General features: G+C 54.4%; 1 protein-coding gene across 10 annotated transcripts in view, besides 1 other annotated feature; it reads left to right on the forward strand.

Moving 5' to 3' along the window:
- The window catches only part of LRP5 (LDL receptor related protein 5), a 150,864-nt gene that overhangs the window by 40,285 nt on the left and 96,632 nt on the right, over nucleotides 1-13,947 (forward strand). For all 10 annotated transcript variants that reach the window (XR_001747874.2, XM_011545031.2, XM_011545029.2 and 7 more), the window contains exon 2: nucleotides 9,151-9,547. Coding sequence is in view for 8 of the 10 variants with exons in the window: in XM_011545031.2 (XP_011543333.1) it covers nucleotides 9,151-9,547 (397 nt within the window). In the remaining 2 variants the exon portion in view is untranslated. The remainder of the gene's footprint in view (nucleotides 1-9,150; nucleotides 9,548-13,947) is intronic.
- Nucleotides 4,040-4,891: an enhancer, noted in NCBI's record as "H3K27ac-H3K4me1 hESC enhancer chr11:68110204-68111055 (GRCh37/hg19 assembly coordinates)". NCBI's record gives its function as "activates a minimal SCP1, AML or CMV promoter by ChIP-STARR-seq in naive H9 embryonic stem cells {active_cell/tissue: H9 hESC(naive)}" and the evidence as "EXISTENCE:reporter gene assay evidence [ECO:0000049][PMID:30033119]".

Consider the following 13,947-nt stretch of genomic DNA (forward strand, 5'->3'; position numbering starts at 1 on the left):
AAGTGTTCTACGCCCGATTAAACCAACTGGGAATCCAGGCAAAAGAAGACGTTCCCAGGGGAAGCCAGCCTGCCCAGTGTGCATGGTGCCTTTTAAACAAATTATCTGCATTCCCATTGGGATGAAGTTCACTTGACAACATTACTCATTGGTTTTTTTGCTTTTGTTTAGTTTTTTTTTTTTTTTTTTTTTTTTGAGACAGAATCTCACTCTGTCACCCAGGCTGGAGTATAATGGTGCAATGTCGGCTCACTGCAACCTCCGCTTCCTGGGTTCAAGCGATTCTCCTGCCTCAGCCTCCCGAGTAGCTGGGATTACAGGCATGTGCCACCACACCTGGCTAATTTCTGTATTTTTAGTAGAGATGGGGTTTCACCGTGTTGCCCAGGCTGCTCTCAAACTCCTGACCTCAGATGATCTGCCTGCCTTGGCTTCCCAAAGTGTTGGCATTACAGGTGTAAGACACCGCGTCGGGCCTTTTTTGTTTTTGTTTTTTTGAGACAGAGTCTCCTTCTGTCACACAGGCTGGAGCGCAGTGGCACAATCTCAGCTCACCGCAACCTCCACCTCCCGGGTTCAAGTGGTTCTCCTGCCTCAGTATCCCAAGTAGAGCTGGGATTACAGGGACCCACCCGCCACCACACCTGGCTAATTTTTTCTTTTTTTTCCGAAACGGAATTTTGGTCTGTCGCCCAGGCTGGAGTGCAGTGGTGCAATCTCAGCTCACTGCAACCTCTGTTTCCCAGGTTCAAGGGATTCTCTTGCCTCAGCCTCCGGAGTAGCTGGTATTACAGGCGCCCTCCACCATGCCCAGCTAATTTGTGTATTTTTAGTAGAGATGGGGTTTCACCGTGTTGGCCAGGCTGGTCTCGAACTCCTTACCTCGTGATCCGCCCGCCTCAGCCTCCCAAAGTCCTGGGATTACAGGCGTGAGCCACCATACCTGGCCATAATATTCGTTTTTATGCATCATTCCTTTTTATGGCCCCTCTCACCTCCGTCAGGTGGTGAATAGACTACGTTTCATTTATCCGTTCATCGGTTATGGACATTTGAGCTGTTTCCATGTTTTGGCTTTGTGAACACTGCTGTTAACATGCGTGTACCTGTATGTGTACATACATGAGTAGAGGGGTTCAGTTCTTTTGGGTATATATGTAGGAGTGGAATTACTGGTCATAGGATCATTCTATGTGTAACTTTTTGAGGCACTACCAGGCTGTTTTCCACAGCAGCCAGAGGTGTCTTTAAAAGCAGTTGTCAACTGGGCTTGGTGGCTCACACCTGTAATCCCAGCACTTTGGGATGCCAAGGCGGGCGGATCACCTGAGGTCAGGAGTTCGAGACCAGCCTGACCAACATGGCAAAACCCCGTCTCTACTAAAAATACAAAATTAGCTGGGCGTGGTGGCGTGTGCCTGTAATCCCAGCTACTCAGGAGACTGAGGTGGGAGAATCGCTTGAAACTGGGAGGCCGAGGTTGCAGTGAGCTGAGATTGCGCCATCATACTCCAGCCTGGGCAACTAGAGTGAAACTCCGTCTCAAAATAAAAATAAAAATAAAAATAAAAGGAATGATCACTTCCTGTTTCATGAATGAGGAAACTGAGGCTCTGGGAGATGGGAAATCCTGCCCGGAATCTCACAGCTGGAGGCCAGGCCAGGCTTTGAATCCAGGCAACTGAGTCTGAGTGGATGGTGTGTGCTTTGTGTTGGAGCTGGCCCAGGGCTGGATGAAGGCAACATTTAATTAATGAAAACCACTACCCCCTCCCGGCTGTTACCTCTTGAGCGCTTTTCTATGAAGCATCCTGTTTAAGCCTCGCACTCTGTGATGTGGAGGTGCAGTAATTATCCCCATTTCACAGACAGGATGTTGAGGTCAGAGGGGTTGAGTGATTGTCATGGGCCAGGTCTCAGCCAGGCTTGCTAACCCTGGAGTCTGCCGTCTGCTCTGAAGTGGTCACTCTCAGCTGGAGAGCTGACCTGGCCCTTTTGCCTTTGTGATGTACGGTCCTGAAAAAAATATTTGCAGAAATAGCTTCATAGGAACATATATGGAATTTGGAATTAAAAAATATATTAAAAACTATATATTTACCAGTATTACAATATATTACCCAGAGACTTGTCTCCCTAATGAGGCCACCTTTACTTTTTCAATCTTTGTCTCCGCTGGTGCTTTCTCATAACTGCCATTCATTCTAGTAGAAATCATGGTTCACGGTTATGCTGGGTGTGTGGTTTTTGGTGTTGACATGTCGAACGTTTTGTTGTTACCGCAGTCATTTTGTTACTAGTTAATTGGTGCTACCTTTCCACGGAGACAATAGTCTAGTTACCCCTGCCGCTGGAGATTGTTCTTTTTTTTTTTTTTTTTTTGCTATTACAAATAAGGCCTCAGCAAATATTGTGACTCAGACGTTTTCCTTCTTTCTGGTGTTTCTTGGGACAGACTCCTGCAGGGGTGATCCCTGGGGAGAGGGCGTAATTATTTTATGTTCATGATGCGGCAGTCACCACCGTGTTTCTGAAAGGTTTGTTCTGCACTCTGGGCTGCCAGTTGACATTCGGTTTTTCATGGTGATCTGGTGGGTCCTGGGGTGTGATGGTGGCCGGGCCCAGCTGCTTCAGCCCTCAGCCTGTCCATCCCCCACCCACACCCAGAACTGAGGCTCCAAGGTGCAGCCTCAGGTGTCTGCCACCCTGTGCATCCCTCATCGCCCCAGGTCTGTTGCCCTCCCTTCTCCTCCTTCTCAAATTACGCTGCCCAGAGGTCAGGCTAGAGGTCAGCAGGTCCATCACTGGATGGAATGACCTGGGGCAGGCCAAGGTATCTGGGGGCTGTGTAGCTGTGACCCCTGAGCTTCAGGGGGCTGTGAAACGAGAGACCTTGGGCACATGGGCACATGACGTGGTGGGAAGGCGCCCAGAGGACCAGCACCCGCCATGCTACCCCCACACTCTGCTCCAGTGTGCTCCCACCCCAGGACCTTTGCCCAGGCCTGCCGGCTCCTTCTTTCCCAGCAAGGCCTGCTCTGTCTCAGGTAGCATGCAGCCCCCCGACCCACTTCTCATGTAGCATGCAGCCCCCCGACCCACTTCACCCTGCACCATTTCCCTGATCTGCAGCGTTTATGATGTAACATTACTAAGGTGTCCTTATTGGCTATGTGTATTGCTTGTTTATTACCACCCACGTGAATACGGAGCCATTCAGGCCGTGTCCTGGGTGTCTGGGTGGGCCAGCTGGTGCTGGGCACTCGCCTGCTGGAGGAGTGAGTGCCCATGGCCAGCCCCTCCTGGTGCCTGGGCTGCGTCTCCTCCTTAGTGTGCTGCCTCTACAGGCTTTTCTCCTGAACTGTCCTCTTTGCTTTTTTTTTTTTTTTTAAGCTTTAAAAGAAGTTTTTGTAGAGATGCGGTCTTGCTGTGTTGCCCAGGCTGGTCTTGAACTCCTGGCCTGAGATGATCCTCTCTCCTCGGAAAGTGCTGGGATTATAGGTGTGAGCTACGGAGCCGGCCCTTCCCTTCTACTCTGCTACTCTGCTGTTCTCTCTCCCTCCCGTCGGGTTCTGCTCCTGCCACGTTCTCCCCTCTCCCCACCAAAGGCTGGGTTTTCTTTGTCAGGGCTCCTTTCCCCTTTGGAGAAGAGGGGGCTGTAGGGCCTTGGTGCGAGGCCCTCCAGTGACAGGATCCCCCATCACCCAGAGTTCCACAGGCCCTGGTAGGGAGGAGGGGGAGCAGAAGAGGAGGTGCCATCTTTGCCTGCTGGGGAAGGGCAGGGGCCACCCACACAGAGCTCTCCCATTTGCTGTGGACCCTGGGGCCACTGCCAGTTCCTTCCAAAGGAAAGCCAGCTCCCCAGGTGGTGGGAGAGTGATGTGGCTTCCTCTTAAACTTAGGAATTGAGTGTGTGGTTGCTTCTAAGTGCCTTAGAAGCCGGAGCGGCTCCTGGAAAGAGCCTGCCTGCCACAGCGGGCCTTACCCTGGCTGTGCCCACAGATGTCCCTGGGGCCTGCCGCTCCTGCCCGGCTCTCCTGGCCTCCCCCGGTGTGGGTTGGGAAAAGCACAGCAAATTAAAAAACACCTCCATCTCTGGCCTTTGAAGAATGCATCTGAACAGCCGAGAGTGTAAACCGTGGTGAAATGTGGTCTTTCCAGTTTGGGGAGAAGCAGGGCAGAGCTGGGGCTTTTGTACCCAGGGTTTCCAAGAGCTCCTGCCTCCCTCGGCTGGGCTGGCCAGGGCCCCCCGCTGGGACCTCCAGCTGTAATAGGGAAGGTTTTACTGGGTTGCTGGCCACTGTGGACTGCCCCTAAGGGCAGGTATGCCTGCCTTTACCCGGGTTCCCCTCCTGCCTGGAAGATACAGCCCATGGGAGGCCTGTTGTCTGTGGGATCCTCCAGCATCAGAGACACTGGGGCCAGCGTCTGCCTGGTGAGGTGCAGGCCTGGCAGGCCCGGTCCCCCACCTGCTTGAGCACCCACGGTGGTGGGGGCTCGCTGCCTCCCGAGACAATCTATGTCATTGTTGTCCAAGGAAGCTAATTTAGAGTAGAAAGTTCCGTGTCCAGTCCCACTCTGTGCGTGTGTTAGCAGGGGACTCTCGGGCCGGAGCTGGGTCCACCCTGGTAGGGGGACTTCATGGGGCCTGGGCGACAGCACTGTGTATTTGTGTGTGTGTGTGTTTGTGTGTGTGTGTGTCTGAGGAGGTGGACCAGTTTCTCAAAAGGCCTGTGACCCCAAGAACCAAGGAATTTCAGCCTGGGTGGATCACACCTTCACTGGTGAGTGGGACAAGCTGGGGGCCCTCGCCACAGGAGCAGCCAGGGCATGGGGCACAGTTGGCCTCATTCACAAAATGGGAGTATAAGTGATCCCTGCTCTGGCGGCCAGGACGATGAGTGGGAACACACCGTGTGGGGGCTGCCTGGCCTGGGTGTGCCGCGGGTGTCCTTGTTGGTGATGGTTCCACCTGCTTGTGCCACCAGTGCCCTCTGGGTCTCACACACAACTCTCTTCCCAGCGAAGGCCCCTCCTGCCCTCAGGCCTCAGTGCTGCTTCCGTCTCGGAAGGCCCCAGGAGCTCCTGCATCCTGGGCGTGATTCCTGTGTGCCTGCAGACCCCCTCGCGGCTGCCATCTCATCCTTTGGTGCACCTGTTGGCCAGACCTCCTGGTAGCGGGTGCTGCACTCCCCTGAATGTGCCGGGGCCTGGGGGCAGGGACCTGGGCTCCTCCCTCACTGAGTGGAGGGAACTCAGTGTCTTGGAGTTGGGGTGCCTGCAGGCTGGGTGGTGCAGGTGAAATGCAGACCTCTCAGCTGGTGTTCCAGAGCAGCTGCCTTCCCCCGCCCGAGGGACTTCACCCGCAGCCCAGTCAGGGGTGGCGCCTGGGTGCATCGCCCGCAGGCTGGGTAGGGGTGGAGCCTGGGTGGCCCTGCCTGTGAGCTGCATAGTTGTCGCCTTTGACCCTGAGTTTTCTTCGTTATCTGTTTGGACCTGTTTGGGGCAGGCAGGGGATGAGATCTGAAGATAAATGCCTTAGCTGTGACCATCTCCTTTTGTGAGAGGTCAATGTCCAGTTCCGCTGCAGTTATAACATCCCATTTTTTGATTTCTTTTTATTTTTTCCTTTTTCTTTTTGAGATGGAGTCTCGCTCTGTCACCCAGGCTGGAGTGCAATGGGGTGACCTCAGCTCACTGCAACCTCCACTTCTCGGGTTCAAGTGATTCTCCTGCCTCAGCCTCCTGACTAGCAGGGGTTACAGGCGTGAGCCACCACGCCCCAGCTAATTTTTGTATTTTTAGTAGAGGCAAGGTTTCGTCATGTTGGCCAGGCTGGTCTCAAACTCCTGGCCTTAAGTGATCTGCCCGCCTCGGCCTCCCAAAGTGCTGAGATGACAGGTGTGAGCCACCGTGCCCGGCCCAGAACTCTTTAATTCCCACCTGAAACTTGCCGCCTTAAGCAGGTCCCCAGTCTCCCTCCCCTAGTCCCTGGTCCCACCATTCTGCTTTCTGTCTCAATGAATTTGCCTACCGTAAGTACCTCATATAAATTGAATCATAAAGTATTTGTCTTTTTATATCTGGCTTATTTCACTTAGCATAACATTCTTAAGTTTCATCCATGTTGTAGCATGTGTCAGAATCTCTCTCTTTTTTTTTTTTTTTTTTTTTTTTTTTTTTGCAGACAGAGTCTCGCTCTGTCATCTAGACTGGAGTTCAGTGGCACGATCTCGGTTCACTGCAACATCTGCCTCCTGGGTCCAAGCAATTCTCCTGCCTCAGCCTCCTTAGCAGCTGGAACTACAGGCGCGTGCCACCATGCCTTGCTAATTTTTGTATTTTTTGTGGAGGCAGGGTTTCACCATCTTGGCCAGGCTGGTCTTGAATTCCTGACTTCAGGTGATCCACCCGCCTCAGCCTCCCCAAGTGCTGGGATTACAGGCATGAGCCACCGTGCCTGACCAGAATCTTTTTCCTTTTTGAGACTGAATAGTACTCCATTGTGTGGATGGAGCAGATTTTGCCCCGCTATTCATCCCTCAGTAGAGGGACGCTTGGGTTGCTTCCATGTTTGTTTGTTTTTTTGTTTTTGTTTTGCTGTTTTTTGAGACAGAGTCTCGCTGTGTCACCCAGGCTGGAATGCAGTGGCGCAATCTTGGCTCACTGCAACCTCCACCTCCAGGGTTCAAGTGATTCTCCTGCCTCAGACTTGTGAGTAGCTGGGATTACAGGTGCCCGTCACTACGCCCAGCTAATTTTTGTATTTTAGTAGAGACGGGGTTTCACCATGTTGGCCAGGCTGGTCTCGAACTCCTGACCTCAGGTGATCCACCCGCCTCAGCCTCCCAAAGTGCTGGGATTACAGGCGTGAGCCACCATGCCTGGCTGCCTCCATGTTTTAGCTGTTGGGAAGGATGCTGCTGTGATCCAAGGTGTATGCATATCTGATTGTGTCCCTGTTTTCAGTTCTTTTGGGTATATAACCCAAAGCGAAATTGCTGGGTCATATGGTAATTCTGTGTTTAAGTTTTTGGGGAACTGCCATGCTGTTTTCCATAGTAGCTGCACCATTTCACATTTTTGCCAGTGGTGCACAAGGGTTCCAGTTGCTCCAGATCCTCACCAACACTTGCTATTTTGTTTTTTTGATAGTAGCCGTCCTAATTGGTGCAAGATGGTATCTTATTGTAGTTTTGATTTGCATTTCCCTGATGATTAGGGATATATTAAGCCTGTTTTGATGTGTTTATTGGCCATTTATATGTCATCTTTGGAGAAATGTCTGTTCAAGTTGTTTGCCCATTTTTGAGTTGGCTTAGTTGTTTTCTCATTGTTGAGTTTTAGGAGTTCTCTGTATTTCATGGATATTAATCTCTTAGTAGATCTATGATTTGGAAATATTTTCTCTCATTCTGTGGGTTGCCTTTTTACTCTCTCGATAGTGTCTTTTGATGCACAAAATCTTTAGCTTCCCATGAAGTCCCGTTTGTCTTTATTTGTGGCCTATGCCTTCCTGTTGTTTGACTTTCACAGTGTCCCTCGTTGCCACAAAGAACTGTAGACCTAAGATGATGACAGCACGGGTGGGGCGGCGGAGGCGCCGCTGTCATTTTCCTGGCCTCAGGTCCTCTGTGTGTCCTCCCATCCTGTGGAGCATGTCTCCTGGGAATGGGAGGGGCCAGGATTTGAGCCAGTGCTTGTCTTGGCAGGGAGGCCTGTGCTCGGAACCATCTACCCCACTGCGCTGGGGTCTCCTGGGCCATGCTCTGGCCCTTTGTGTTCCCAGCTACCCTCATAGAGGCTGCAAATCTTTCCCCTGCTGAAATGAAACCAACTGAACTAACTACAGGATTCAGTTCTGTGATTGTCATTGGCTGAGTTGAGTTTGTTTTGGCTTTCTCTTTCTTGGTGAAGGTGGGAGTGTGGGGTTGGCTGGGCTCCCCCATCTGCGCAGGAGGACCCAGGGGTCTGCAGTTTTCATGAGGAATGTCAGCTGTTTCAAGCCAAGGCTTCAGATGTTTTTTGGGGGTGTTTGTGGCCAGCCCAGCCTAGCCCTGCTGACAGCAGACACGGACTGATGGAGCTCCCTGGAGGCCCTTAACCTCCTCCTGTCCACATCTTGTGTTCACTCCTCATGTGGCTTCTTAGTCCCTCTGAGTCTGTGTTGGGGGTTGCTGGACCCTCCTGGTCCGACGTCTGAGGTGTCTGGTGGGGTGATGGTCTGAAGGCCTCTCCTGATTTCTCATTGAGCCCGTTGTGGGAATGAGACCGTTGTCTGTGAGATGAGGCTTCTTGCACAGGCAGAAGGGGCTGAGGGCTGCGGTGCAGAGGGAGGTGAGGGAGCCAGCCTGGCCGCAGGCAGATCAGGAATGCTTGGGGTGGGGTGGTGGAGAGAAGTGTAGGTGAGGCCAGAGGCCAAGGCCTTGGAGGCCAGGCTAGGGGGTCTGACCTTGTTCTGCATGGCACTGGCACAGGGAGCTGTGGAAGGTGTCTGAGCCAAGGGGTGGCATTCCAGAGTGACCCTTTAAATGTAGGAATGTCCAGAAGCAGGGTGGGAGAAACATGGAATACAGGGGTGGATGGGAAGCTGATGCCACGGCCAAGGAAACGGGCCTGAGCTTGGACAGTGGTCAAAGACTTGTAAGGGAATCTTGAGGCTCTGTCTGGCCTGGGCTCTGAACCCCTCAAAAAATGTGGCCCTGTGGCTGGGTCTGTAGCGAGCAGCATGGCCAGTGCTGTGCCTGCATGTCCCCATCCCCTGTGTCAGGCCAACAAAGGGGATGTGGCTTCTCTGCAGAACAGGACAGGGCCCCTGTAGCCTCTGGAGGACGATGTGGGAGGTTTTGGGCATGGCAGGAAGGGTCACCCATATCTGGGGGAACAGACGTAACAGTTGGTAAACAAACAGGTGCTGTCACCGAATGTGGGAAGAAGGCTGTTTGCTGCGCTGCAGGAGCCTCTGAATGATGCGGGCCGGGGCTGCCCAGGCAACTTCCTGACAACGCCTTAGGGGTGGGAGGAAGGAACTGGAGGTCTTGGGCATGGGCAGGGCAGTACCAGGAGTGCTCTGGGCATAGTGCTCCATCCCAGGGCTGTGTATCTTGCTGGCTTAGCCAGTGGCCCTCACGGTTTGCTTCTGCCCCACAGCCTCGCCGCTCCTGCTATTTGCCAACCGCCGGGACGTACGGCTGGTGGACGCCGGCGGAGTCAAGCTGGAGTCCACCATCGTGGTCAGCGGCCTGGAGGATGCGGCCGCAGTGGACTTCCAGTTTTCCAAGGGAGCCGTGTACTGGACAGACGTGAGCGAGGAGGCCATCAAGCAGACCTACCTGAACCAGACGGGGGCCGCCGTGCAGAACGTGGTCATCTCCGGCCTGGTCTCTCCCGACGGCCTCGCCTGCGACTGGGTGGGCAAGAAGCTGTACTGGACGGACTCAGAGACCAACCGCATCGAGGTGGCCAACCTCAATGGCACATCCCGGAAGGTGCTCTTCTGGCAGGACCTTGACCAGCCGAGGGCCATCGCCTTGGACCCCGCTCACGGGTAAACCCTGCTGCGACTCCACCTGGGTCCAGGGGGCGGGGAGTGTCACCATCTCTCTCTCGAATTTGCATGAGCCCAAGTTGTTTTTCAGAAAAAGGGTGTGACTCTGAAAATGAACCCGTGGGGGGGTTGGCTCAGGCCTGTAACCCCAGCACTCGGTGTGACTCTGAAAATGAACCCGTGGGGGTGTTGGCTCAGGCCTGTAACCCCAGCACTCGGTGTCACTCTTAAAATGAACCCGTGGGGGGGTTGGCTCAGGCCTGTAACCCCAGCACTCGGTGCGACTCTGAAAATGAACTCGTGGGGGGGTTGGTTCAGGCCTGTAACCCCAGCACTCGGTGTCACTCTTAAAATGAACCCGTGGGGGGGTTGGCTCAGGCCTGTAACCCCAGCACTCGGTGCGACTCTGAAAATGAACCCGTGGGGGTGTTGGCTCAGGCCTGTAATCCCAGCACTCTGGGAGGCCAAGGCGGGCAGATCACCTGAGTCCAGGAATTCAAGACCACACTGGGCAACATGGTGAGACCCCATTTCTACAAAGTATACAAAAATGAATCGGGTGTGATGGTATGCACCTGTAATCCCAGCTTCTTGGGAGGCTGAGGTAGGAGGATCATTTGAGCCTGGGAGATCGAGGCTGCAGTGAGCTGTGATCCCACCACTGCACTCCAGCCTGGGCGACAAAGTGAGGAGATCCTGTCTCAAAAAAAAAAAAGAGCTCAGCTTTCAAGATTTGTTATTGTTGAAGGAATTACTTCCCCTTGAGATTCCATAGTTATGTTCCTTTTTTTTTTTTTTTTTTTTAATTGAGATGGAGTCTCCCTTGTTGCCCAGGCTGGAGTGCAGTGGCACAATCTCGGCTCACTGCAACCTTCGCCTCCCGGGTTCAAGTGATTCTCCTGCCTCAGCTTCCCAAGTAGCTGGGATTACAGGCGCCCACCACCACGCCCAGCTAATTTTTGTAGTTTTGGTACAGATGGGGTTTCACCATGGTGTCTAGGCTGGTCTCGAACTCCTGACCTCAGGTGATCCACCCACCTCGGCCTCCCAAAGTGCTGGGATTACAGACGTGAACCACCGTGCCTGGCCCATAGTTATGTTCCTTTTTAAAACTTGCATGTCTGAGGCAACCGATGTGGTTGGCCATGGGTTTGAATGGTTAAACACATCTTTGCTGTGTGTATGGTGGGCGGCCTGGGAAGTGCGGACGCTCAGGCAGGTGGAATTTGCACCTTCTCCTGGCTTTCTAATTGCATTGGCTGAAAAAGTGCAGCTCCTTGTCTGGAAGCAGAACCTGCTGGGAGTGGTTCTCGGGTCCGTTCTGGAAGCTGCCCTGTGTCCTCCTCAGCTCCTAGTCTGGCTGAGTTCACCTGGGCCCTTGAAGGCTCAGGGCCTGGCCGTGATCCCAGGTGGGGAGAGCGTGGGTGGCAGGAAAGCTTTGGAGTCGAAGTCCGGGGTGGAGAGTTTAAGGGGAGGTGGCCCAGCTCCACTGGCCAGCTAGGCCAGGTCACCCCAGACTCCCGAGCAGAGGGAACAGTTTGCTTGGCCACCCCTTGTCCCTCCTTTGTCCCTTTTCTTGCAGCCTGGGAGTGACTCTGGGGGCCGTACACACACCCTTACCTGGGCTGTGCTAAGCCCTGGCCCTTGCTGACCTGTCAGGTTCTGTGCTGGGTCAGTGTCAGAACTGGTTGGCAGAGGTCTTGACTAGAACACAAGAGCCATTTCCCACCACCCCCAGGCTCAGTTGGAAGCCCTTTGCCTGTTAGTTCATTCAGTGTCACCACAGTCTCTCAGCACTCCCAGCCTGGACCTCACCGGTTGAGGGGCCGGCCTAGATCTTCTTTGCGCAATGGCACGATCTCAGCTCACTGCAACCTCCACCTCCCGAGTTCAAGTGATTCTCCTGCCTCAGCCTCCTGAGTAGCTGTGATTACAGGCGTGCACTACCACACCTGGCTAGGTTTTGTATTTTTAGTAGACACAGGGTTTCGCCATGTTGGCCAGGCTGGTCTCAAACTCCTAACCTCAAGTGATCCACCCTCCTCGGCCTCCCAAAGTGTTGGGATTGCAGGCGTGAGCCACTGCACCCAGCCTGACCTAGATCTTCTAGGTTAGAAAGTCCCAGGAGTGGGCGGCCATGCATCCAGGCCTGCCACAGGAGCCCGCCTGCCCTCCTCCCTGAAGTCAGGGCTCTGGAAGCCCTTCCCTTGGCCATGCCCTGTGGGACAGTGTCCAAGCTCTGGAGTAGGACTGAAGACCCCTGGGCTCTAGTCCTGGGGCCACCAACTTGCTGTTGCCCTTTGCAGTGACCTCCCCCTGACTCCCATGGTGCCGGCTGCAGGAGCCGGGCGGGAGGGGCTGGTTGCCAGATCCTGCAGATGCCCCTCCTCTGGGCCTGCCCAGGGTAGTGGGAATGAGGGTGTGGGGTGAGGGTCTGTCCTCACCAAGGCTGGTGTTTGGGAGCTCAGGAAGCAGAGTGCCATGTGGCCAAGTTCACCTCTTTGATCTGTGTGGTGACTTAGGAAGCCATTGACTGGCTTCTGACGAGCATGGGAAGGGCTGGAGCCTTTCAGAGCCCAACAGGTTTGTGTGAGAGCCAGGCGTGTGTGTGTCTGAGCAACTGAGTGTGGGAGTGGGAGGATGTGAGCGTGTGTGTGTGTGTGTGCGTGTGCACGCATATGCGTGCATACGTGTGAGCCTGTGTGTGTCCGTGTGTGTGCATGCATGCGTGTGAGTGGATATTTGTGTGTGTATGAGTGTGCGCATGTGACTGTGTGTGCACGTGTATGTGCCCGTGTGAGCGAGTATGTGCGCGAGAGTGTCTGCATCTGAACCAGTCTGTGTGTAAGTATGGGGTACCAGCAGGGGTGGGACACGGTGGAATTTATCGCCAAAGTATTTTGAGTCCCTGAGGTCAGGCCAGAGCAGCCTCGTGCCCCCACTACCTGAGAAGTGCCCCCGGCCTCCCAGGGGTGCTGTGCTGGGCAACCACTCATCCCTGGAGCCCCTCGTATGCCCTCGCTGCCCTCCGAGTGGGCTAGCCACCCCTGCAGCTGCCGGGGAGCCAGCTGACCTCCGGGGCAGCCTCTGTTCCGCTTGGTGAACTGTTGCCCTCTCAGCCCTCTCCCCCTGCACTGTGGCTCCAGGAGTCGCGGGGTTACTGACCTTCTTTTTGGAAGGGTCGGCTGGTGTAGCAGTGTCTCTGGCTAGGAGGGGGCATCTGCAGTAGTCGGAGAGGCTGAAGATAGCAGCTTGCTAGAAGCCCTCTCCCAGGGCCGGCCTGCGGTTGCTCACCAGCGGCTGCCATGGCCATCGTGTCGCCAGGACCTGCGCTCCTCCTGTCATTGCGTTCCCTCCCAGCGTGGGTCGCTGCAGCTCCCTCACCTCCCAACCAGGCATCCACTGCATTTGTGAGCCCTTGCGCCTGGTCCTGCTCCCCACGCAGCGGGTATAGCCCAGTCTCTGGCCCTTTCAGTGAGTGGGAGGAGATGGTAAATGAATAGTATTTGAAAGGGACGTGTGCGTAGGGGGATAAAGCAGTGCTTGGGTGCTGTGGCGAGGGGCTTCCGTCGGAGCTCAGGTGCTGGGAAGGCCTCTTGGTGACTTTTGAGTCGAGACTGGAAGCAGATGAGGCTGAGAACCGTGTGGCTGTCTGGGGGCAGCGCGGTCCAGGCAGAGGGATCAGCCAGTGCAAAGGCCCTGGGCTGGTTTGGGGCGGGGCCTGTTTGAGGGGCTGTAGCAGAATGTAGGGAAACAGGGCCCAAGGTGTGAGGAGAGGACACATGAGGTCTCGAGCAGAGGAGGTGCCAGCTCTGACTCGTGCTGGAAGGCATCCCCTGGTGGCTGGAGCGAGAGTGAGCTGTGGGGTGGGTGGCGTGGGGGCAGGAGCCCTCTCCACGGTTATTACCGGGATCCTGGCGACAGAAAGCAGCAGCGGGGACACCTCACTTGTGGGGGTAAGGAGTGGCGAGATTTGGGATCTGTTCTGAAGAGAAAAGACAGCTGGATTTGCTGGCACTCTGCATGTAGGTTCGATAAAAAGATGAGACAAGGTTGGCACGGTGCCACTCTGTGCCTCAGTATCCTTGTCTGTACAGAGGCGTGACCATGCTGCATGTCATGAGGAAAACACCAAGAACAGTTTGTGAGTTCAACAAATGTTAGCTGTCGTTATAATAAAAATGCCCTTTCCTCGCCACCAGAAGTCCAGTCTCCATGCCTACGTGGTTTTGTCTTTTTACTTCTTTATGGCTTTTGCTATGTTGGTTGGGAAGTGCTCAGTGCTAGGTTGGGAGGTGATCAGTCGGGAGGTGCTAGGTGATTTGTTGGGAGGTGCATGATGCTCAGTTGGGAGGTGCTAGGTGCTCGGTTGGAAGGTGATTGGTACTTTGTTAGGAGGT

This window comes from Homo sapiens, chromosome 11 (genome assembly GCF_000001405.40).
Source record: "Homo sapiens chromosome 11, GRCh38.p14 Primary Assembly".
Classification (NCBI taxonomy): Eukaryota; Metazoa; Chordata; class Mammalia; order Primates; family Hominidae; genus Homo; species Homo sapiens.